Source organism: Homo sapiens, chromosome 1 (assembly GCF_000001405.40).
Source record: "Homo sapiens chromosome 1, GRCh38.p14 Primary Assembly".
Classification (NCBI taxonomy): domain Eukaryota; kingdom Metazoa; phylum Chordata; class Mammalia; order Primates; family Hominidae; genus Homo; species Homo sapiens.
The window spans coordinates 52,067,896-52,091,167 of record NC_000001.11 but is presented as its reverse complement, the minus strand read 5'-3'; the positions used below and the strand labels follow the sequence as shown (position 1 = coordinate 52,091,167).

Genomic DNA, 23,272 nt, shown 5'->3' with positions numbered 1-23,272 from the left:
TGATGAGTTTAGACCCTGGGATTTGATAGCTTTTGATTAGAATCTTGGTTCCCCACCAATTAGTTGTTTGGCCTTTTACCAATTTCCCTAAACCATTTTTTTGTTCTTCTTTAAGACAGGGTATAGACTGGGCACAGTGGCTCATGTCTGTAATCCCAGCACTCTGGGAGGCTGAGGTGGGCAGATCATTTTGAGGTCAGGAGCTCAAGACCAGCCTGGCCAACATGGTGAAACCCCGTGTCAATTAAAAATAAAAAAAAACAGCGAGGTGTGGTGGTGGGCACCTGTAATCCCAGCTACTTGGGAGGCTGAGGCAGAAGAATCGCTTCAAGAGGTTGCAGTGAGCCAAGATTGTGCCACTGCACTCCAGCCTGGGTGATAGAGACTCCGTCTCAAAAAAAAAAAAAAAAAAAAGATAGGGATTATAATATCTGCCGCATCAGACTGAGAATTAAATGAGATAACTTTGTATTCAACAGTAAGTAGTTGAAAAACATTACATATTATGATGTTGAGTAAACTACACATTGGGCACTACGAGAAAGTAAAAAGAAAATCAAATAATCTTAATACTCTACTATGGCAAATGAATAGTATGCTGGAAGTAAATGTAAGGACATGCTCAGATAGGAAATTTAGGTAGCTGGCTCCTGTGTAATGGGCTGGAGAGAGTGGATCATAAACAAAACTATTAAGAAAGCTATAATAATTCAGGCAAACTCTATGTGGCATAGCAATACAGGCTGAACTGGAGTGTTGTTCAACACAGGTTGAAATGCAGTGTAGAATGGAGACTTTCTGTGCCTAGAACCATGAGCTTCGGAAAATCTAAGCCATAGCTTAGGAGATAACACGCTTTAATCATCTTCTACCTTCACCTTAATAATTTAGGGGATTCTAAGAAATCATGACTCTTCTAGGTACCATTTTATAGATAAAACTGAGGCTCAGAGAGCAAGGCCATCATTGCATTATTAATGGAGGACACTATTCACACTGCAGTCTATGAAAATGACACCTTCTGGAACACAACAAAAATAAGTGATGGCTCCCGAAGTTGTGCACCGCAGCAGCCCTGTCAGAAAGGTTACAATGTAAGGGTAGATAGCAGAATTGATCTCTATCTAAAAACTTGTGCTTTTCCCACTATAACATACTATCTCTTACCATGGTATCTTATTTATGGGTATGTAGCATACCTAGGGTTAAACACTGAATTAAAACAAAGAAACAAATCAAACATATCGCAGATATGGGTTTTTCATAAGAACTTCATAGGCTTATTAAAGTGAATTTAATGGAATCCTGTAAGCACTAGCTACTTAACAACAAATTAAGGTGCTTGATATATTCTTAAACCATTACTTAATGGGAAAAATAAGGGTAAAACAGATATAAGAGCCCAACCATTTACTTTGGACTTGTCCAAAACAGATAAGGCGCTTTACAAAGAACAAAAACAAAAACAAAAAAACCTCAAAGGACTAACACAAAAATTAAGATCATAAATCAATTTTCTGCAGACATTTCTTGAATTATCCCAAAATTTTAAGGTCAATTTCCCCCCCAAAATGTTTTTATCATTGTTATCTTGGCAAAAAATACCTAATCTTAGTAAGAAGCACATATTTAACTAGTTATTTAAATATAAAAAAAGATTTAATTCATATTTATGCCAAGAACACTACAATTTACAAAAGTTTCATCCAAACTCTTACCCTATGTCTACCCACACCAGAGGGAGGAACATGTCTTTGTGGAGAGGATTTCTTTGAGACTCTAAATATGCTTTGTTCAGGAAAGGGGAAGATACAAAAATATAGAACAAAAAAGAATATTGGCTCATTGTACACAAGAGAGGCCAGCCATTAAGAATTGTTATCAATACAATAAAAGGGAATACTTGGCCAGAGATCCTCTAGATAAGTAGCTAAAATGTGATCAAAAGGAGAAAGAGGAAGAAGCAAATACACAAACGTTTTATGGGTATTAATAAAAATAAAGACATCTCTGAACAAATGATAAAATCCCTTCCCTGAAAAATTTCAAATGAGATTCACAGAAATGCAGAAGCAGAAGAAACTTTAGATTTAGAAACATCTCATTTGGGCTGGGTGCAGTGGCTCACGCCTGTAATCCTAGCACTTTGGGAGGCCGAGGCAAATGAATCACCTGAGGACAGGAATTCAAGACCGGCCTGGGCAACATGGTAAAACCCCATCTCTACTAAAAATACAAAAAAAAAAAAAAAAAATCCCAGCTACTGTGGAGGCTGAGACAGGAGAATCGCTTGAATCTGGGAGGTGGAGGTTGCAGTCAGCCGAGACCACAACATTGCAGTTCGGCCTGGACAACAAGAGCAAATCCCCATCTCAAACAAAACAAAACAGAATAAAATCTTATTTGACTGATGATAAATTTCAGAGTAGTTAGATGACCTGTCCAAGGTCACATAATGCCAGAGTTTTGACTAGGACACAAGTCTCCTGGCTTCCAAGTGTGTGTTTTCTTTCATGTGCTATACTGCCTATTATTTATCTGTCCCTAACCACTTGAAGTGGTTCCCCCTAACTCTGCCTCCACAATGTCCCCCTTTGGGACAATTAGAGAAAGAATTCTGGACTGTGTAGACTGTGGAGCTACTGACCTAACACTGGATGAGGCATTATTTCAAACAATTACTGCACTAACATTCATTTACAGGTGGAGGGTAGAGGAATAATATAAAAGGAAATTCTGTACACAACATCAAGAAAAGCACAAGAGGAAATATTCTCCTCTTTTGCACTGTTATTTTATTTTGTTTAGTCCATATATTATATAAAACATAACAGGAAAAATGAACGAATTTATAAAATAAATTGAGGTGTTTGGATGAAAAAAAATACAAGAGCTTTGCCTTCATGTCTACAGATCTCTTAATATATTGTTGGTCTTGCACCTTAGATATCAAATAAAGATATCTAGCTTGACACAAAAGTTGGTAGCTGCAAGGTTAAGCTGTATTAGTTTGATGATGGGCCAGGAAATGATATATTTTCTAAATTTTGTCCTTAAATATTGGCTGTAACAAATGCTGATATAGCAAAAAGTAAGCTTCTATTAGACAGCAAGAGGGAAACTTGAGTGAATGAATGCAACTTACCTCCAAGTCCTCTTAAAGGAGGTAAAAAAATAAATACTGTGTTTTACCAGTGCTCCCCTCAAAGCATTATTCTAAGCATGCAGGAGGGTATAGTGAGCAGCTACAATAGTAAGATCCAACCCAGAGGTAGGTTCAAGGCCAAGAGTAGGAGAGTGGTTGAGGAAATCCTCCTAGGGCCAGTACCATTTCATAGAATGCCCATTTGTGCTGGGAGATGAGTCTATGGCCTATTTTCTTCTGATTCAAAAGGACATTCCCAATTTCAACCTTGCTGAAAAACAGGCATTTTTGTACCTGCTGTTAAGAACAGCTAGGATACAGGATAAGGCTGGCATAAAATTATTTAGCAAGCACATGCTAGCTATTCCAGTTTGAAATCTACCAAACTGTAACATCAGGGAGAAATAAAAAGTTGAAGATGAAGTTGTTCCTCAAGCTGAGGGAACAAAATCTTACAAAAGGAGGGATTAGGCACTCGCTAAACTCTATATGGAGAACATCCTTCTCAAGCTAGGTGGAAGATGAGGAAGAATATTACCAAAAGCTGACCAGGCCATTTGGAGACCAAAAGGAGAGGAAAAAAGGCATTTAGGAAGCAAGCTAGTAAAAGAAGTTCTTCTGGGTCTGACTAGGTAAGTTAATCTAAGGCAACCATACCAAAGATATGTTACCCATTACTCCAGCATGAAGCCAGTGGCAAAATACCTCAAGATATTTTAAATCCAGAGAAGTGTATGAAAAATATGATAGTTAACCAAGCAAATTAAAATCAAACCACTAATGGTAAAAATCTCTTCAGATTTGAAATCCAAGATACTCACTTTCCATTAATTCTGTGTCTTACGGGGGGAAAAGAAAAGTAACAAATGTAAAGATTTTTTTTATTTCTACTGGGGAGGGAGGAGGATAAATAGAACTGTTTTCCAATTTGCTCTCCACTGTATACACACATACCCACACACATACATAAACATACATACACCAAAAATACCCCAAACAAAAAACAAAAAAACCAGGAATCAAAAACCAAAACACCCTCAAACTGCACCAATACTTCATATTTTGACCAAAAAAATATCCTGGGAGGAAGTGCAAAATGCAAAATCAAATGACCGAAAAATGCTGAACAAACAGCATTATTAATATACAAAATATTTATATTACTGAACTAGTAACAGGTGATGTTCTCCATGTCTGTAAAACTTTGGAACCACATAGCTGATTTGTTAAATCTAGTCCATGCCAGCTTCCAAAAACCAAACTTTTAGTTAGCTTCATTCTTTGATGCCTCATCAAAATTTTCTACAAGATCTGAAAAAGAAAAACAAAGTATATGAATCAAAGAATACAAAAAAGGAAAAAGAGGTAAATGGAACTCCTAACTTCTAACCCCCGAAAAAATAAAATTAGTACAACCAGAATTAGCCTGAAAACATAAGGAGGCAGAAATGAACTGGTGGCATTTTACTAACAATGATTTAATTATTTGCTTAGGACAGTAATCCTAAGGAAATGTTCATCTTTTGTCTATGCAAATTACTGAGGTGAATAGCATTTTCATATGTCAATTATAATTCATACAGAAATGTTATAACAATAGCTATGCAAATTTATAATCACAGTGATTTCAATTTAATAAATCCAGGCAGCAGAGCTTTGTGTGACAATTTCTGATTCTAGGTTCTAAGGTGGGTGCTTACGTTGTTTTTCATTAGATCCTATCCACATTATTGTGAATCAATTTAAATTCATGAGCTTACAATCAACACAAACCTAAAAGTTATCTATGCAATGACTGAAAGGAGATAAACAGGATGCTTAAAATCTTAAGTCTAAGGAAATGTCACTTACCTGGAACATCATCATCTTCCTCATCAATGTCTTCTGGTTTTGGTGCTTTACTGTCCAAGACTACAAAAAGTTTATTTTAATATTAGTCATTGAGAACAAAGACCTTAAAGAAAACTTATAATGTTTATCCCTTTTTTCCTGTATAAATCACACAGAGTTGCTCAGAAATAGCTAAATATTGTCAATCTAAAATGCCATTCATATTTTTTGCTTGAGTAACATTAAAAATAAAACTTTAATCAGTTAATACACTGATAACACAGCTGGCAATTTCCATGTGTGACAAAGATGAAATTTATTTTATTTATTTTTATTTATTCATTTTTTGAGACAGGGTCTCACTCTGTTGACCAGGCTGGAGTGTAGTGATGCGATCTTGGCTCACTACAGTCTCCACCTCCCAAGTTCAAGCAATTCTCCCTGCCTCCCAAGTAGCTGAGATTACAGGCAAACACCACCATACCCAGCTAATTTTTGTATTTTTAGTAGAGATGGGGTTTCACCATGTTGGCCAGGCTGGTCTCGAACTCCTGACCTCAAGGGATCCACCTGCCTTGGCCTCCCAAAGTGCTGGGATTACCGACATAAGCCACCACACACGGCCTACAAAGATAAAATTTATATGCAAAGTGGAATAACTGATCACTGAGTAAAAAGACTTTACAGTGGCCATATTCTCCAAATAAAAAATTAATATTAAGGTTTTTTTCAGCCAGGTATGGTGGTTCACACCTGTAATCCACTGCACTCCATCCTGGGCGACAGAGTCAGACTCTGTCTCAAAAAAAAAACAAAACAAAAAAACAAACAAACAAAAAAAACCAAGCAACAACAACAACAACAACAACAACAAAGCTGGGCACAGTGGCTCATGCTTGTAATCCCAGCACTTTGGGAGGCTGAGGCAGGTGGATCACGAGGTCAGGAGTTTAAGACCAGCCGGGCCAAGACGGTGAAACCCTGTCTCTACTAAAAATATAAAAATTAGCCAGGCGCAGTGGCGGGCGCCTGTAATCCCAGCTAACTTGGGAGGCTGAGGCAGATAATTGCTTGTACCCGGCAGGTGGAGGTTGCAGTGAGCCAAGATCATGCCACTGCACTCCAGCCTGGGCAACAGAGCAAGACTCTGTCTCAAAAAAAAAAAAAAAAAAAAAAAAAGATTTTTTTCATTTCTTTTGGTGTAAGAAAGTATCTAGCTAGGTAGTATGGGCACTACAATACTAGATTTTTTCATTTTTAGGGGCAACATGACACATTTGAAACCAGGACTATCTTGGAAATTCAGAACTTACGGTTGCCACATTTATAGGGCAATCAATATTTAACAAAAACATAGATGTCTGACAACATTATTTTCTTTTTTCTTTTTTTTTTTTTAGAGACAGGGTCTCCCCCCTCTGTCACCCAGGTTGAAGTACAGTGGCTTTCCATAGCTCACTGCAGACTTGAAGTCCTGGGCTCAAGTGATCCTCCTGCATCAGCCTCCTGAGTAGCTATGACTACAGGCACGTGCTATCACACCTGGCTAATTTTTGTATTTTTTGTACAGATAGGGTCTCACCATGTTGCCCAGGCTGGTCTTGAGCTCCTGGCCTCAAGAAATACTCCCTCCTCAGCATCACAAAGTGCTGGTATTACAGGAGTGAGCCACTGCGCCCAGCCATATAACAGTATTTTCTGATTGTCATTAATTAGCAGTGAATATCAAATTAACTATTTAAAATGATGGGCCAAGCATGGTAGCTCACGCCTGTAATCCTAGCACATTGGGAGGCGGTAGGTAGGTGGATCACTTGAGGCCAGGAGCTCAAGACCAGCCTGGCCACCATGGCGAAACCCTGTGTATACTAAAAATACAAAAATTAACTGGGTGCAGTGGTGCACACCACCTGTAGTCCCTGCTACTCGGGAGGCTGAGGCATGAAAATTGCTTGAATCCACAAGGTGGAGGTTGTTGTGACCTGAGATCGCACCACTGCACTTCAGCCTGGGAGACAGAGCAAGACTTTATGTCTCAAAAATAAATAAAATGAAATAAAATAAAATAAAATTATGGCCTGAAGATCTGGGCACTACCCTTTTAGGTAATTACTTCTCAACTTACTATTATTACTACCAAAATGTTTCCGAATATTCTTTTTTTTTTTTTTTGAGACGGAGTTTCCCTCTTGTTGCCCAGGCTAGAGTGCAATGGCATGATCTCAGCTCACTGCAACCTCTGCCTCCCGGGTTCAAGCAATTCTCCTGCCTCAGCCTCCCGAGTAGCTGGGATTATAGGCGCCTGCTACCATGCCTGGCTAATTTTTGTATTTTTAGTACAGACGAGGTTTCACCATGTCGGTCAGGCTGGTCTCGAACTCCTGACCTCAGGCAATCTGCCCGTCTCGGCCTCCCAAAGTGCTGAGAATACAGGCATGAGCCACCACGCCCAGCCATGTTTCTGAATATTCTATATGTCACACTACATAATCATTAAACAAACTCAAAATTTTATGAAGCATAGAAATAACTTTATAGAAAGTAAAATAATTACATACAGGCAAATCCAAATTAAGATGGGACACCTTTTAAATGATTAGGTTCTTTAAGTAAGGTGGGGAGAGAAAGATTTACTAAATTGAAATACCTACCTTGCCGTGGGAACTGTTCAGCTAACTTCCTAAGGCTTGTTAAACTGTCAGCACCAAGCTGACTTAATATTCCAGGAAGCATTTCTGTGATTGGTTTGGCTTCTGCATGACCAGTAATTGCAAAGGTATTAGCAGAAAGGGAAGCTTGGACTTTGGGATTGTTGAAATGAATAACTGTCCCATCATCTTTAATCATGTTCACCTGTATGATCACAGAAGAAAAATGTACTTCACATGCTAGGTACACTAAAACAATATATTTTTAAAAAGCAATTCAGCCAATTATGGTTCTTTACTTGGTAGTTATGTAATCCCAAGGTAGTAACTGGCCAAGCAACGGACATTCGTGGAAAAAGATCATAGTAATAAAGTAAAATGGTGTAGATGGCACAAATTACTAGGATGGACAAGAAATATTCAATTCATTATAGAATCTAGATTTTAAATTCAAAGACTTCTAAGAGAAGGAAGTACATGACCATGTTTTTTTAAAAAATGGAAGTATCAGCCAAAAACCAGCTTCTTAATGAAATTACTCATTATCTTACTCAATTTATACTGTCAAACAAAATCAGTGCAATTTCCACTTGGCAGGGTAGCATCTTACTTAGGGGACTGGTTACAAAGGGGAAATAGTATATGGTAAAAACAACCACTAAAAATCCATAAAGAACACTCAGAAACGTAACCAGGTGTTTCATTCCTTCAAGCACTTAGTACATTTATAAAAATTTCAACTTGTTCTAATCATGCCATTCTTTGTAAGGGATTTTGCTAGTTCTTCTAATTTTTTTTTTTTTTTTGAGACAGAATCTCGCTGTGTCATCCAGGCTAGAGTGCAGTGGCATGACCTCGGTTCACTGCAGCCTCTGCCTCCCAGGTTCTAACCATTCTCCTCCCTCAGCCTCCCAACCTGGTAGCTGAGATGAGAGGCACATGCCACTATGCCCAGCTAATTTTTGTATTTTTAGTACAGATGGGGTTTCACCATGTTGGCCAGGCTGGTCTCGAACTCCTGACCTCAGGTGATCTGCCCACCTCAGCCTCTCATGGTGCTAGGATTACAGGCATGAGCCACCACACCCAGCCAGTTCCTCTAATTCTTAAGGGTAGCTTCTCAACAATCTTTAATAACCCCTGTAAAGGTCAAAGAAATTGTCCCACCCACTCACCTAGTGACCTGAACATGCTTTATCAACTAGGAAACCTTTAAAAATCATCCTCACATTCTTTCCATAACTTTCACCAATATGAACTATTTCAGATTTGATTTCATCCATTGCCTGGGACTTACTGAAATGGAAGGTTTAACATGTGCTACTTAAGATTGTTATTTTTCTCTCTCACTCATGTACTTCATGTTTTTTTCAGTAGAGTTGAATTTGTGTAAGTTAAATGTGTGAATAACGTGATTCCACTATGTAGTTGATTCCCCTGGGTAAGTTACCTTGTGGGGTAACATGCTTACTATATAAAAAGGTTAGGAAGAGTTAACTCTTGGCTACTTTAGAAGCATTTCATGATTCATCCAAAATCTGCCCTGTCAAAATCAAGCATAGATGCTGAGTGTTCTCCATGGACAGTGGGAAGAGGGCTTTTCTTCCTCAGAGGTGATTACCACCATTGATAGCACCAGAAAGGAAGGGCAAGAAAGGGGCTTCTAAATTTCAGGCAAGACCTGGAACACAGAGAAAATAAAGGCAAATCCCTGGAAAATTGTAACTAAACCCACAAATAATTTCCCCAGGTTTTTCTGACAAAAATCACTATTTAAATTCTATACCCTTCCCTCTCTCACTATTACACTTAGGGTTCTATTAATTATATCACACACAAGCATTCAACCCAGCTGTTCTAAAAACACAGCACTGTGAGTTATGTTAACTTCAGAAAAGATAAATTATATAGTTTTGAAGATAATTACAGTTTTGTTAAAAAGTTAAATGTTAAAGTGGGTGAAATCTGGGCTCGAGAAGGATGACAGTGGATGTGAAATGGGATGTTGCTCTGCATTTAGCCTAGAATCACATAATTTTAGAATGGGAAAAGAACAAAAGATATGGTAGGACTATATTTTTCAAATCAAGACCAAATCACGTGGTTTAAAAGAGGATTTCAGGCCAGGTGCGGTGGCTCACACTTGTAATCCTAGCACTTTGGGAGGCCAAGGTGGGCAGATCAAGAGTTCAGAATCAGCTTGGCCAACATGGTGAAACCCCATCTCTACTAAAAATACAAAAATAGCCAGGCATGGTGGTGGGTGCCTGTAATCCCAGCTACTCGGAGGCTGAGGCAGAAGTGGCTTGAACCCAGGAGTCGGAGGTTGCAGTAAGGTGAGATCGCACCACTTCACTCCAGCCTGGGCGACAAGAGTGAAGCTCTTTCTCAAAAAAATAAAAGAATAGGGCAGGCGCGGTGGCTCAGGCCTGTAATCCCAACACTTTGGGAGGCTGAGGCGGGTGGATCACGAGGTCAGGAAATAGAGACCATCCTGGCCAACATGGTGAAACCCTTTCTCTACTAAAAATACAAAAATTAGCTGGGTGTGGTGGCATGTGCCTGTAATCCCAGCTACTTGGGAGGCTGAGACAGGAGAATCACTTGAACCAGGGAGTCAGAGGTTGCAGTGAGCTGAGATTGTGCCACTGCATTCCAGCCTGGCTACCGAGTGAGACTTTCTCAGAAAAAAAAAAAAAAAAAAAAAAGAAGGCCGAGCGCAGTGGCTCACGCCTGTTATCCCAGCACTCTGGGAGGCCGAGGCTGGTGGACTGCCTGAGATCAGGAGTTCGAGACCAGTCTGGCCAGCATGGTGAAACACTGTCTCTACTAAAAATACAAAAATTAGACAGACATGGTGGCAGGCACCTATAACCCCAGCTACTCAGGAGGCTGAGGCAGGAGAATTGCTTGAACCTGGGAGACATAGGTTGCAGTAAGCCGAAATCGCACCATTGCACTCTGGCCTGGGCAACAGAGTCAGACTCCGTCTCAAAAAAAAAAAAAAAAAAAAAAAAAAAAAAAACCCAAAAAACCAAAGATTTCTAAAATGCTTCTGGGTGCAGAGTCTCAAATATTGGAATCTGAGACTTTTTTTTTATTTACAGACATTAAAGTCACAAGAAATCTGAAATCAATATTGTTCAAAAAATTCAGGCTATATATTTGTTGAACTTAGAAGTCTTCCAGTTCAAATCCTTTATGTTAAAGAAATAAACACTGAAGACAAAAGCTCTTTGTTAGCAACATACCCAAGGACAAATAGCTTGTTAAGTGCAAACCGAGGACTTTAACCTGGGTTTCCCAACTTGTTCTTGTTTCCTTCCTACTAAATCATTCTCATACTTAAAACGCTTATTTGCCTACAAAAATTCAATTCAGCTGGGTGCTCATGCCTGTAATTCCAGCACTTTGGGAGGCTGAGGCGGGTGGATCACCTGAGATCAGGAGTTCACAACCAGTCTGGCTAACATAGTGAAACCCCATCTCTACTAAAAATACAAAAATCATCTGGGTGTGGTGGTGGGTGCCTGTAATCCCAGCTACTTGGGAGGCTGAGGCAGGAGAATCGCTTGAACCCGGGAGGAAGAGGTTGCAGTGAGCTCAGATCATGCCATTGCACTCTAGCCTGGGCGACAGAGCGAGACCCTGTCTCAAAAAAAAAAAAAAAAAGAAAAGAAAAGAAAAAGAAAATTCCATGGCCTCATGAGAGCTTGTCAGAGAATGATTTATTTCAGGATATAGGCCAAATCGAGAACACAAAAGAAAAACAACACAGGTATATAGATAAAATGTATCTTATTGGCTACAAAACAAGAGGCTAACATGGAGCCAAAAACAATAAACAAACTCATGGAGTTTTTTCTTATGTTCAAGTTTCTCTTCTGAAGGCTAAATGTTGTTATATTTTACACCCTGATATATAGGTCTTTCTAGTTTGAAATATGCTTGAGTTTAGTGTGAAAAGCAAGATGAATTCCATCTCAGATTGTGAAACATAAATAAATTTATTCATGGCTGTTTTAAATGGAGTGGTCTAAAAGATGCAGCTTCAGGAATAGAAAGGTCCAGAAAGGGATGGAGAGTTTAGTTAATTTTAGAATATAGAGAAATACTAGAAGGTAAAACAGCTAGAATATTTTCTTTCTTTTTTTTTTTTTTTTGAGATGGAGTCTCACTTTGTTGCCCAGGCTGGAGTGCAGTGATGTGACCTCTGCTCACTGCAACTCCTCCTCTCGGATTCAAGCGATTCTCCTGCCTCAGCCTCCCAAGTAGCTGGGATTACAGGTGTGTGCCACCATGCCCGACTAATTCAAATTATTTTATTTCTAACATTCCTTCCTTCTGAGCAAATGACATGGTTATATAAAGCTTCTGGGCACGAGCTATTATAAACTATCAAACGATGAATTGTTTGGCTGAACAAGACCAGTTAGACACCTCTCCTACCATTTTGGGTAAAAGAAGGGATAAGGAACTTGTTAAAGTCATAAAGCAAATTATATGCATTTAATATCGAGACTTCACTTCTTTCAGTGATTTTATACTGTGTGGTTTGAGTAAGCCATATAATATATGTACAATATAAGAACAAGGAGCAGCCAAATAAAAAGGACTATTAAATTAGCAACTATACCAGCACTGAGGTCTCTTTTTCAACCAAACATCCCCTTTAGGTCAAAATTTGTTTTTTTTTCCCTAAAGATAGCTGAAGGTAAAGGATGCCACTTGAGCTAAGGAGAAAGAGGCATTTTGAGACCCCAGTCCAAACCACAGAATGCCCTTGCTCTCATTTTTTGCTTTAATACTGATGTGTATAGTAGTTAGCAGTAAACTTTGTCCTCTCATTCCTAGTGTATTTATATATGCTGTTTTCACTGTTTAGAAGAACCATTTCCTACTTCTCCATCTTGCACATTCCCATTTATCCAAGATTGAGGTAAGATGCTTCTTTCTCTGTGAAAACTTAAGGTGGTTTATGCACTTACTGCTATTATACAGAATTGTCTTGTAGTATAATTGCATTTGTAAATCACTGACCATACTAGAAGGTTAATTTCTTAAGATCAGAGACCATGCCTTATTCGACATAGTATTTCCCCCAATATCTAGTACATAATAATCACTCAAATCTGCTGAATGAATGAATGGATACCTCCTATACAATTTATTCTAAAATCATGGCTGGGCATGGTGGCTCATGTCTGTAATCCCAGCACTTAGGGAAACTGAGGCAGGAGGCGCGCTTAAATCCAGGAGTTCAAGATGCCTGGACAACACAGCGAGAACCCCATCACTACCAAAAAAAAAAAAAAGCAAAAGCAATCCAGGTGGCATGGTGGTACATGTCTATAGTCTTAGCTACTCAGGAGGCTGAGGTGGGAGGATTGCTGAGCCTAGGAGGTCGAGGCTGTGATCACACCACTGCATTCCAACCTGGGTGACAGAGCGAGACCCTGTCTTAAAAAAGGAAAAAAAAGGATATTGTCAGACCAACTCCCCAAATGCTAGATGATGGGTCACATTAAGGTTTAAATATAGCACCAGCAGTGCCTCCAACGAAGATGCCCAGAATCTCCTGGGCTGTATCTTTAGCCTGACTTTTCCTATAGTTTTGACCTTTCAGAATCAGCCCAACCTACCCTCCAGAATTAGGGGCATTTTAAGTCACTCTTTGGCAACTGCTGGGTGGCCCTTTTATGCTGCTATCAAACACCTTAACAATCCCTACCTTTGCTGGGCTCTGCATAGGGTATGTAAGTTAGTCATAGTAGCCTCCTACCTGGTAAATTTGATGCTCACTTTGTTCCTATACTGCAGTACATTTTTGTGGCTAGAGGAGGCTCACAAAATTATATTTGACTCCATAGCTCTTGCTAATAACTGCCCTCTCAGTTCATGGAGGCTTGAATTCTTCTTTGTGACTTTTTTTGAATCCAACTGAGAATGATAAAAGAGAATTAGCAGTTGTCTCTTTTTTTCTTTTTGAGATGGAGTCTCGCTCTGTCACCCAAGTTAGAGTGCAATGGCGCAATCTCGGCTCACTTCAACCTCTGCTCACTGCAACATCTGCTTCCCGAGTTCAAGTGATTCCACTGCCTCATCCTCCCAAGTAGCTGGGATTACAGGCATGTGACACCACGCCCAGCTAATTTTTATATTTTTAGTACAGATGGGGTTTCGCCATGTTGGCCAGGCTGGTCTCAAACTCCTGACCTCAGGTGACCCACCCACCTTGGACTCCCAAAGTGTTGTGATTACAGGTAGGAGCTACCGCGCCCAGCCAGCAGTTGCCTACTCCATCCTACATGTAATGGCACTTAAATGTTTACCAGAAAATTCATCTTTTACTGACTTCTTCCTATACCTTTTAAGAGACAGGGTCTCATTCTGTCTCCCAGGCTGGAGTACAGTGGCTTGATAATAGCAGCTCACTGCAGCCTCAAACTCCTGGGCTCAAGGGATCCTTCTGCCTCAGCCTCCTAGGTTGGTAGGACTACAGGCATGTGCCACCATGCCTGGCTAATTTTTTATTTTCTTTAGAGACACGGTGTCATTTTACTCAAGCTGGTCTTGAACTCTCGGCCCTAAGTGATCCTCCTGCCTTGGCTTCCCAAAGTGCTGGGATTACAAACACAAGTCACCACACCTAGCCTCTTCTTACAGCTTAATAGGGTAAAACAACAGACTTCTTAAGAATAAGGCACATAAGCGTCTGGGGTGTTGTGAGACTGAAGAATGTGAGATTTTGAGGATAATGGGCTTTGCACACGCTCTTATAAATCAGTCAGTATCCTTCACATTCAATTCTAGCTCAGCATCTGCTTATTTCTAATGGCTATTATTAAGCTAAAGCTTACGCTATCATTAGTCTATAACATATGCTGGGATCACTTTGTCTTATTCTCTGGTGACAAGTCTGACAAGACAGGAATTTTTTTTTTTTTTTTTGAGACAGAATCTCGCTCTGTCACCCAGGCTGGAGTGCAGTGGTGCGATCTCGGCTCACTGCAACCTCCGGCTCACTGCGACCTCCGCCTCACGGGTTCAAGCGATTCTCCTGCCTCAGCCTCCTGAGTATCTGGGATTAGAGTCACGCGCCACCACCACGCCTAGCTAATTTTTGTATTTTTAGTAGAGATGGGGTTTCACCATATTGGTCAGGCTAGTCTCGAACTCCTGACATCGTGATCTGCCCGCCTCAGCCTCCCAAAGTGCTCGGATTACAGGTGTGAGCCACTGCGCCCAGCCTTTTTCTTTCTTTTTTTTGAGACTGAGTCTCGCTCTGTCACCCAGGCTGGAATGCAGTGGTGCTATCTCTGCTCAACGCAACCTGCACCTCCTGGGTTCAAGCAATTCTCCCACCTCAGCCTCCCAAGTAGTTGGGATTACAGGCATACGCCACCACTAAAAGTACAAAAAAGAATTCCCGTGCCCAGCTAGGAATTCTCTTTATATATGCTGCAGGTAGTGTGAACTGGCATATTCTTTCTGAAAAGCAATTTGACAAAATGCATGAAGAGTTCTAAAAATGTTCATGGCTCTTTCAGCCAGTAACTACACTTTCAAGAATCTACAGAGGCCGAGCACAGTGGCTCACTCCTGTAATCCCTACGCTTCGGGAGGCTGAGGCGGGTGGATCACCTGAGGTCAGGAGTTCAAGGCCAGCCTGGCCAACATGATAAAACCCCGTCTCTACTAAAAATACAAAAAATTAGCTGGGTGTGGTGGCGCCTGCCTGTAATCCCAGCTACTCAGGAGGCTGAGGCAGGATAATCACTTGAACCCAGGAGGTGGGGGTTGCAGTTAGCCAAGATCGCGCCACCGCACTTCAGCCTGGGCAACAAGAGAGTTGAAAGAACTCAGATTTATATATATAAAAATATACATATATTTTATTATATACAAATATATAAAATATTTATTTACATATAATATATAATTACTATAATTTATATATAATATATATTTTAAAATATATTTTATTTATTATTTTATATATATGGTTTTTTTTTTTTTTTAGACGTAGTCTCACTCTGTTGCCCAGCAGGCTGTAGTGTAGTGGTGCGATCTCGGCCCACTGCAACCTCTGCCTCTTGGGTTCAAGCAATTCTCTTGCCTCAGCCTCCTGAGAGTAGCTGGGGCTACAGGAGCGTGCCACCACGCCCGGCTAATTTTTGTATTTTTGTAGAGATGGGGTTTCACCATGTTGGCCAGACCTCGTGATCCTCCCAAAGTGCTGGGATTACAGGCGTGAGCCACCGCGCCCGGCCCAGAGAGATATATTTATATATAGAAAAGTTCATCACATGATTCTTTTATTATCAAAACATTATAATGTATAATAAATAATTAAAAAGTGTTAAATTACAGTACAGTATATCCATATACTGGAATGTATGTAGATACCTACACATGATTAAAAGGAGTTTTTTTAATGACATAAAACAATTTTTATAATATAATGCTATTTTAAAAAATGATTATTGGCCGGGTGTGGTGGCTCATGCCCGTAATCCTAGCACCTTGGGAGGCAGAGGTGGGAGGACTGCTTGAGGCCAAGAGTTCAAGACCAGCCTGGGCAACATAGGGAGACCTCATCTCTACAAATAATTCTAAAAAGTAGCCAGGCATGGTGATGGAATCTCTCAGCCTGGGTGACAGAGTGAGACCTTGTTTCAAAATAAAAAATTTAAAAATTAAAAAAGTAAAAATGATTCTTTTAAAACAAAAACAAGCCGGACGCAGTGGCTCATGCCTGTAATCTCAGCACTTTGGGAAGCTGAGGCAGGTGGATCACCTGAGGTCAGGAGTTCAAGACCAGCCTGGCCAAAACAGTGAAAACCCATCTCTACTAAAAATTCAAAAATTAGCTGGGTATGGGGCTGGGTGTGGTGGCTTACACCTGTAATCCTAGCACTTTGGGAGGCCGAGGCAGGTGGATCACCTGAGGTCAGGAGTTCAAGACCAGCCTGACCAACATGGAGAAACCCGTCTCTACTAAAAATACAAAATTAGCCGGGCATGGTGGTGCATGCCTGTAGTCCCAGCTACTCGGGAGGCTGAGGCAGGAGAATCGCTTGAACCTGGGAGGCCAAGGTTGTGTTGAGCCGAGATTGCCCCACCGCACTCCAGCCTAGGCAATAAGAGTGAAACTGCCTCCAAAAAAAAAAAAAATTAGCTGGTTGTGGTGGCACACACCTGTAATCCCGGCTACTACTTGGGAGTTTGAGGCACGAGAATCGCTTGAACCTGGGAAGCAGAGGTTGCAGTGAGCCAAGACTGTGCCACTGCACTCCAGCCTGGGCATAGAGTGAGACTCTATCTCAAAAAACAAAAAACAAACAAAAAAAACCAAACCAAACAAAACAAACAAAAAAAAACAAGGTCTTGCTCTGTCACCCAGGCTGGAAGTGCAGTGGTGAGATCACAGCTCACTGCAGCCTAGAACTCCTGGGCTCAAAGTATCCTCCTGCCTCACCCTCTGAGTAGCTGGGATCACAGGCATGCACCATCATGCCCAGCGAATTACATTTTTTTCTTTTTTTGAGATGGAGTCTTGCTTTGTTGCCCAGGCTGCAGTGCAGTGACACGATCTCAGTTCACTGCAACCTCCGCCTCCTGGGTTCAAGCAATTCTCTGCCTCAGCCCCCTGAGTAGCTGGGATTACAGACGCCCACCACCACGCCCGGCTAATTTTTGTATTTTTAGTAGAGACGGGGTTTCACCATCTCGGCCAAGCTGGTCTTGAACTCCTGACCTCATGATCCACCTGCCTTGGCCTCGCAAAGTACTGGGATTACAGGCTTGAGCCACCCAGCCTGGCCTTTTTTTTTTTTTTTTTTTTTTTTTTTTGTAGAGACAGCATCTCACGATGTTACCTAGGCTGGTCTCAAACTCCTGGCCTCAAGCAATCCTTCCACCTCAGCCTCTCAAAGTGTTGGAATTACAGGCATGAGTCATTGCACCTGCCAAAAAAAAGAATTCTAAATTGTACATCTAGCTGTAATCATATGTGTGTGTGTGTGTGTGTGTGTGTGTGTGTGTGTGTATGTAGCATATATATAGTGCATATATATAGTGCATATATATAGTGTACATAAAGATGGGAAAGATTAAATACAAGACTAATAGTAGCTCTCTCTGGGTGGTAGGGATTATGGTTGAATATTGTCTTCTTGACATTTTCTCTATATTCCTGATTTCCTACAGTGGCAATATCTATTATCTATATAGATATACAGATACATATTTTTTTTTGAGACGGAGTTTCACTCTTGTTGCCGAGGTTGGAGTGCAATGGCATGGCCTCAGCTCACTGCAACCTCTGCCTCCCAGGTTCAGGCAATTCTCCTGCCTCAGCCTTCTGAGTAGCTAGGATTACAGGTGTGCACCACCATGCCCAGCCAATTCTCCTGCCTCAGCCTCCTGAGTAGCTGGGATTACAGGCGTGCACCACCACGCCCAGCCAATTTTTTTCTTTTTTTGAGACAGAGTCTTGCTCTGTTGCTCAGGCTGGAGTGCAATGGCACGATCTTGGCTCACTGCAACCTCCGCCTCCCAGGTTCAAACGATTCTTCTGCCTTAGCCTCCTGAGTAGCTGGGATTACAGGCGCACGCCACCACACGTGGCTAATTTTTGTATTTTTGCAGAGATGGGGTTTCACCATGTTGGCCAGGCTGGTTATGAACTCCTGACCTCGTGATGCGACCACCTCAGCCTCCCAAAGTGCTAGGATTACAAGTGTGAACCACTGCACTCATCCGGCAATATATTTTTATGTTGAGGGGAAGAAAGCTTTTTAAATACAAAACATGCCAATAAGGATGGATAAAATGTGGTATACGCATACAATGGAATATTATTCAGCTATAAATCCGTGAAGTTCTGATACACTATGACCTCGATGAACCCTGAAAACACTAAGTTAAGTGAGTGTTTTCAGGCCTCCAGGCACAAAAGGACAAATACTGCATGATTCTATTCATATGAAACATCTAGAATAGGCAATCCATAAAATAGAAAGTAGATTGGCGGTTACCAAGGGCTGGGGTAGAGGGGAATAAGGAGTTATTGTTTAATGGGTATCAAGTTTCAGTTGAGGGAAATGAAAAAAGTTCTAGAGATGAACAGTAGTGATGTTTGGCCAACATTGTGATGTATGCCAATGAATTGTATAGTTAAAAACAGCTGGCCAGGCGCGGTGGCTCATGCCTGTAATCCAGCACTTGGGAGGCCAAGGCAGGCGGATCATGAGGTCAGCAGATCAAGACCATCCTGGCTAACATGGTGAAACCCCATCTCTACTAAAAATACAAAAAATTAGCCAGGCGTGGTGGCGGGCGCCTGTAGTCCCAGCTACTCGGGAGGCTGAGGCAGGAGAATGGTGTGAACACAGGAGGCGGAGCTTGCAGTGAGCCGAGATCGCACCACTGCACTCCAGCCTGGGCAAAAGAGCGAGACTGCACCTCAAAACAACAACAAAAAACAAACAAAAAACCAAAAAAAAAAAACAAAAAAAAACCCTGGCTAAAATGGCAAATTTTGTGATATATATATAGATATATCTACACACACACACACACACACACACACACACACACACACACACAGAGTAAAAAACAAAACAAAAAGCCAAAAGAACAGGACCCTAAGAGAGAAAGAAGGATGCTATGGAATGGTAAAGTGAATAGGACATGGTGCTTCCCTTTTACTCTCGTGTACTCAGAGCTGTCTATCTATGGGCACCTGAGGCTCTAGCTGGAGGAAGAAGGAACTGCAGGAAGAGCCCGCCATTAACTTTAGGTCCTCTTTCTGTACAACTGGTTCAGAAAAAACAAGAACCAGGAAGAGGAAAATGTAAAAAGTAAAACTTATGTGTCCAATTACAAAATTTATATTCCCAGCCTTAAGCTTTCTCTAAGCCCTAGCTCCCTATAGCTAACTTACTGCAGAACAATCCCACCTGGAATAATCAGTACCTCTTAAATTTAATAGGTTCTAAGCAAACTCATCACAGAGAATCAGCATGCTATAAACTAGAAACAACGAATAAACATGTTCCCAGCCGTCAAGACTCTTTATAAGCTACTGAAAACAGACTACTGGATTAATAAGTTACCATTATACACCACGATATGAGATAGCGAAAAACATATTATAGAAGAGCAACTTAGGCTAACAGCAGTAAAAGTACAGAGAAAGGGTTGACTATACCTGGAAAGACAGGAAGGGTTTCATGGAGGCTGAATTATACCCTGATTAAGACAGAAGCTGTCCTCTGAATATTATTATAAAACTCTATGAAGCAACTTGGAACAATTAGGGCATCTGAATCGGAAAGTGCTTTTTGGTTACACTTCTTACCAAATAAACTGGAAAAAATCTGTTGTTTCTGAGAAATAAAACAGATCCTTTTGTCAATGGATTCATGCAATTGGGGAAGAAAAGGTGACAGCACAGTCACTACATTCAACTAGATTACCAAATAACAAGCACATTCAAATATTTTCAAATGTTACAGAACATAAAACATTTTCAGAAATTTGGTTCTGGATGATACTCTGTAAGTCTGCCTAAGAATTCCTTTCAAAAAGCTGGTTATTGGCCAGGCGCAGTGGCTCACACCTGTAATCCTCCCAGGACTTTGGGAGGCCAAGGCAGGTGGAACTTCTGAGGTCAGGAGTTTGAGACGAGCCTGGCCAATGTGGTGAAACCCCGTCTCTACTAAAAATATAAAAATTAGCCAGATGTGGTGGTGCGCCTATAATCCCAGCCACTCAGGAGGCTGAGGCATGAGAATTGCTTGAACCCAGGAGGCAGTAGGTTGCAGTGAGCCAAGACTGTGCCACTGCACTCCAGCCTGAGTAACACAGTGAGACCATCCCCCCACCAAAAAAAAAAAAAAAAAGCTGGTTATTTATTTGACCTTTGTATGAAACTGTCTCTGAAACCCCTCATCCCTTAGTTTTGTTTTTTTTTTTTTTGAGATGGAGTCTTGCTCTGTCACCAGGCTGGAGTGCAGTGGCATGATCTGGGCTCACTGAAACCTCTGCCTCCAGGGTTCAAGCGATTCCCCTGCCTCAGCCTCCTGAAGTCCTATCCTTTAGTTTCTGACAGCCTTGGATTTTTCTTTGTTTGGTAACATTAAAAACAAACAAACAAACCTATATATAATTTATTATACCAAATCAATGAACTATTATACCAAATGAACTATTATACCAAATGAACTATTATACCAATGAACTATTATACCAAATCAATGAACCAAAGAAGGTCAGAGAAGCTTGTCTTATTCCAAATAGTCTTTTAGTTTTTTTTTTTTTTTAGACAGTCTTGCTCTGTCGCCCAGGCTAGAGTGCAATGGCACGATTTCAGCTCACTGCAACCTCTGCTTCCCAGGTTCAAGCGATTCTCCTACCTCAGCCTCCTGAGTAGCTAGGATTACAGGCATGCACCACCACACTCAGCTAATTTCTGTATTTTTAGTAGAGACAGTGTTGTACCATGTTGGCCAGGCTGGTCTTGAACTCCTGACCTCAGGTGATCCACCTGCTTTGGCCTCCCAAAGTGCTACGATTACAGGAGTGAGCCACCGCACCCAACCTTAGTTTTTAAAGTTTCTGAAGAGGACACCAATTAAGCTCTGGAAGGGGGAAAAAAAATCACAAATACTGATAGCTTGGATAGTACTAATGTTAGTGACATTCAGTACTGACAGTAGAAAATTAGGGGTATGGAGAAACACTTTACTTGGCCTAAGTGCATTCAATGAATTTTGAGATCCACTACTGCTCTCCCTGTTCCTCACTCCCTAAACTGAGCACTTTCTACTTTTTCATGTTTTGAAGGTCTAAGCACAGAAAGTACTATCATATTGTTTCACAATAATGGCAAAAAGTGTCTTTTCTTCTCAAAAGTTTTTATCTGCTTTAAACTGCCAAAACTCAAAAAGGCAGCATATTCCTGAGTTCACACTTTGTAACAAGTTTTAAACATCCCAAAGTAAAAATAACAAAGTTTTAATTAATGTGTTCCCTACTCTGACATATATATATGTTCATATCTGAGTGTTTCTGAAAATCATATCTATATTTTCATGTATACATTTAATGCAATAGCTTCTTTTTTCCTTCTCAAGAAGCTGTTTTTAACCCAAGTGTATGAGCAAGCCAGGTTATATATAGTATACTAGATGTTCCCAAAGAGGAATATTTCAGATTTGTTAAGGGTTATATAAAGTAACAAATATCTTGGTTCTCAAAAAATCAATTTTAGAAAGAGGGAAAGAAGAACAAAAAGTAAAACTCCTCTCCATCTTCGGTTCAAATATTCAGAAATTTTATGGTTGCCACCTTGTATTATTACTTTGTACGTTTTCCCTGTACAACTATCCTGTGAGGGTTAGAAGACAACACCAGGATGGGGGGAGGGCAGAGAAGCTGCTATAGTGTACACACATGCCACATATCTATTATGTGGCATTAATTCTCTGCGTGATGTTGTGAGGTGTATTAACTACTCAAAAAAATTGCAGTGGCAATATTAACAAAAAAGAATTCACAATATAATTTAATAAGTGCTATAATAAAAAGCAGATACAGGGCATTGTGGAGGCATACACGAAAGGCACCTAACCCTTCTCTGCACAAATGCTGTACAGGTGCTACCAGGAAGGCTTCTGGGAGGAAATAATGCCTATATTAAGACCTGAAAAAGGAGAAACAGCAATGTCCTTGGAAATACTGATGGGGATTTCTTTTCTATAATGGTTTAAGGAACGAATTCTGCATGGTAGGTGCTCAGTACCTATATAAGGCAGGTGAACCTCTTACCTTCCCTTTTTTTTGGTGGGGGAGGAGGGACAGGAGGAAATTAAAAGGCCAAGAATGAGTATAATCAAGTATAAATGAAAACAGCAAAAGCAGGATAAATTAATGAATACTATGAACTCTGGTTTTGACACACCTTAGTTCAAACCTGGAATTCTAGCACTTACTAGGCTACGTGATCTTAGGTAGGCACCTAACTCTCTAAGCCTCAGCTCTCTCATCTGTAACCAACAACAACCAACTCAAAGGGATATTGTGAAGCTGAAATGGTACGATATAATACATATTGATTTGTCTAGTTGTCTAATTAGTCTCCTCACCAGATCGTAAGCTACAAAAGACAGAGGCCATGCAGAATATCTTGTACCACTGTCCAGTAAGTCCTTGGCAAAATGCTTAGCACGCAGATGTTTAATAAACGTTGACTATCATTAAGTACTTTGTTATGATGATTTCAATTACAGCAACACCATGACCTCGGCACAGTATTATAGGTTTGATTATATTCTGAAGAGATCAAAAATTACTAACTGGTTCCTTATTTCAATGTAAAACACTTATAAAATCAATGCTGCCCCTACACTAAAAGTTTTACTAATTATGAGAGGCATAAAGTCTTCCAAATCTGAACAAAAACTTTAGAAAAACATGTCCTTGGAGATATTACACAGTTAAATCTATACTGCAAGGAAGGTATAATTTTTTTTCCTCTCTAAAGAAGTGTTTCTCAGCTAAGGGTGCCTGCCCTTTGCCTGCAAGGTACGTATACATGGCAATCTCTAGAGATATTTTTGATTGCCACAACTAGGAGTAT

At 40.5% G+C, this 23,272-nt stretch overlaps 1 protein-coding gene across 3 annotated transcripts in view; it reads right to left on the bottom strand.

The window, feature by feature from the left end:
* Nucleotides 1-451: 451 nt before the first annotated feature.
* The window catches only part of BTF3L4 (basic transcription factor 3 like 4), a 34,422-nt gene continuing 11,601 nt past the window's right edge, over nt 452-23,272 (bottom strand). For 2 of the 3 annotated variants that reach the window (NM_152265.5, NM_001136497.3), the window contains 3 exons: nt 7,627-7,828; nt 4,997-5,056; nt 452-4,456 (listed from right to left, as the gene is read on the bottom strand). In NM_152265.5, the coding sequence (NP_689478.1) occupies nt 4,410-4,456; nt 4,997-5,056; nt 7,627-7,828 (309 nt within the window). In that variant the 3' untranslated portion in view covers nt 452-4,409. The remainder of the gene's footprint in view (nt 4,457-4,996; nt 5,057-7,626; nt 7,829-23,272) is intronic. The other variant, NM_001243767.2, reaches the window with a different exon arrangement.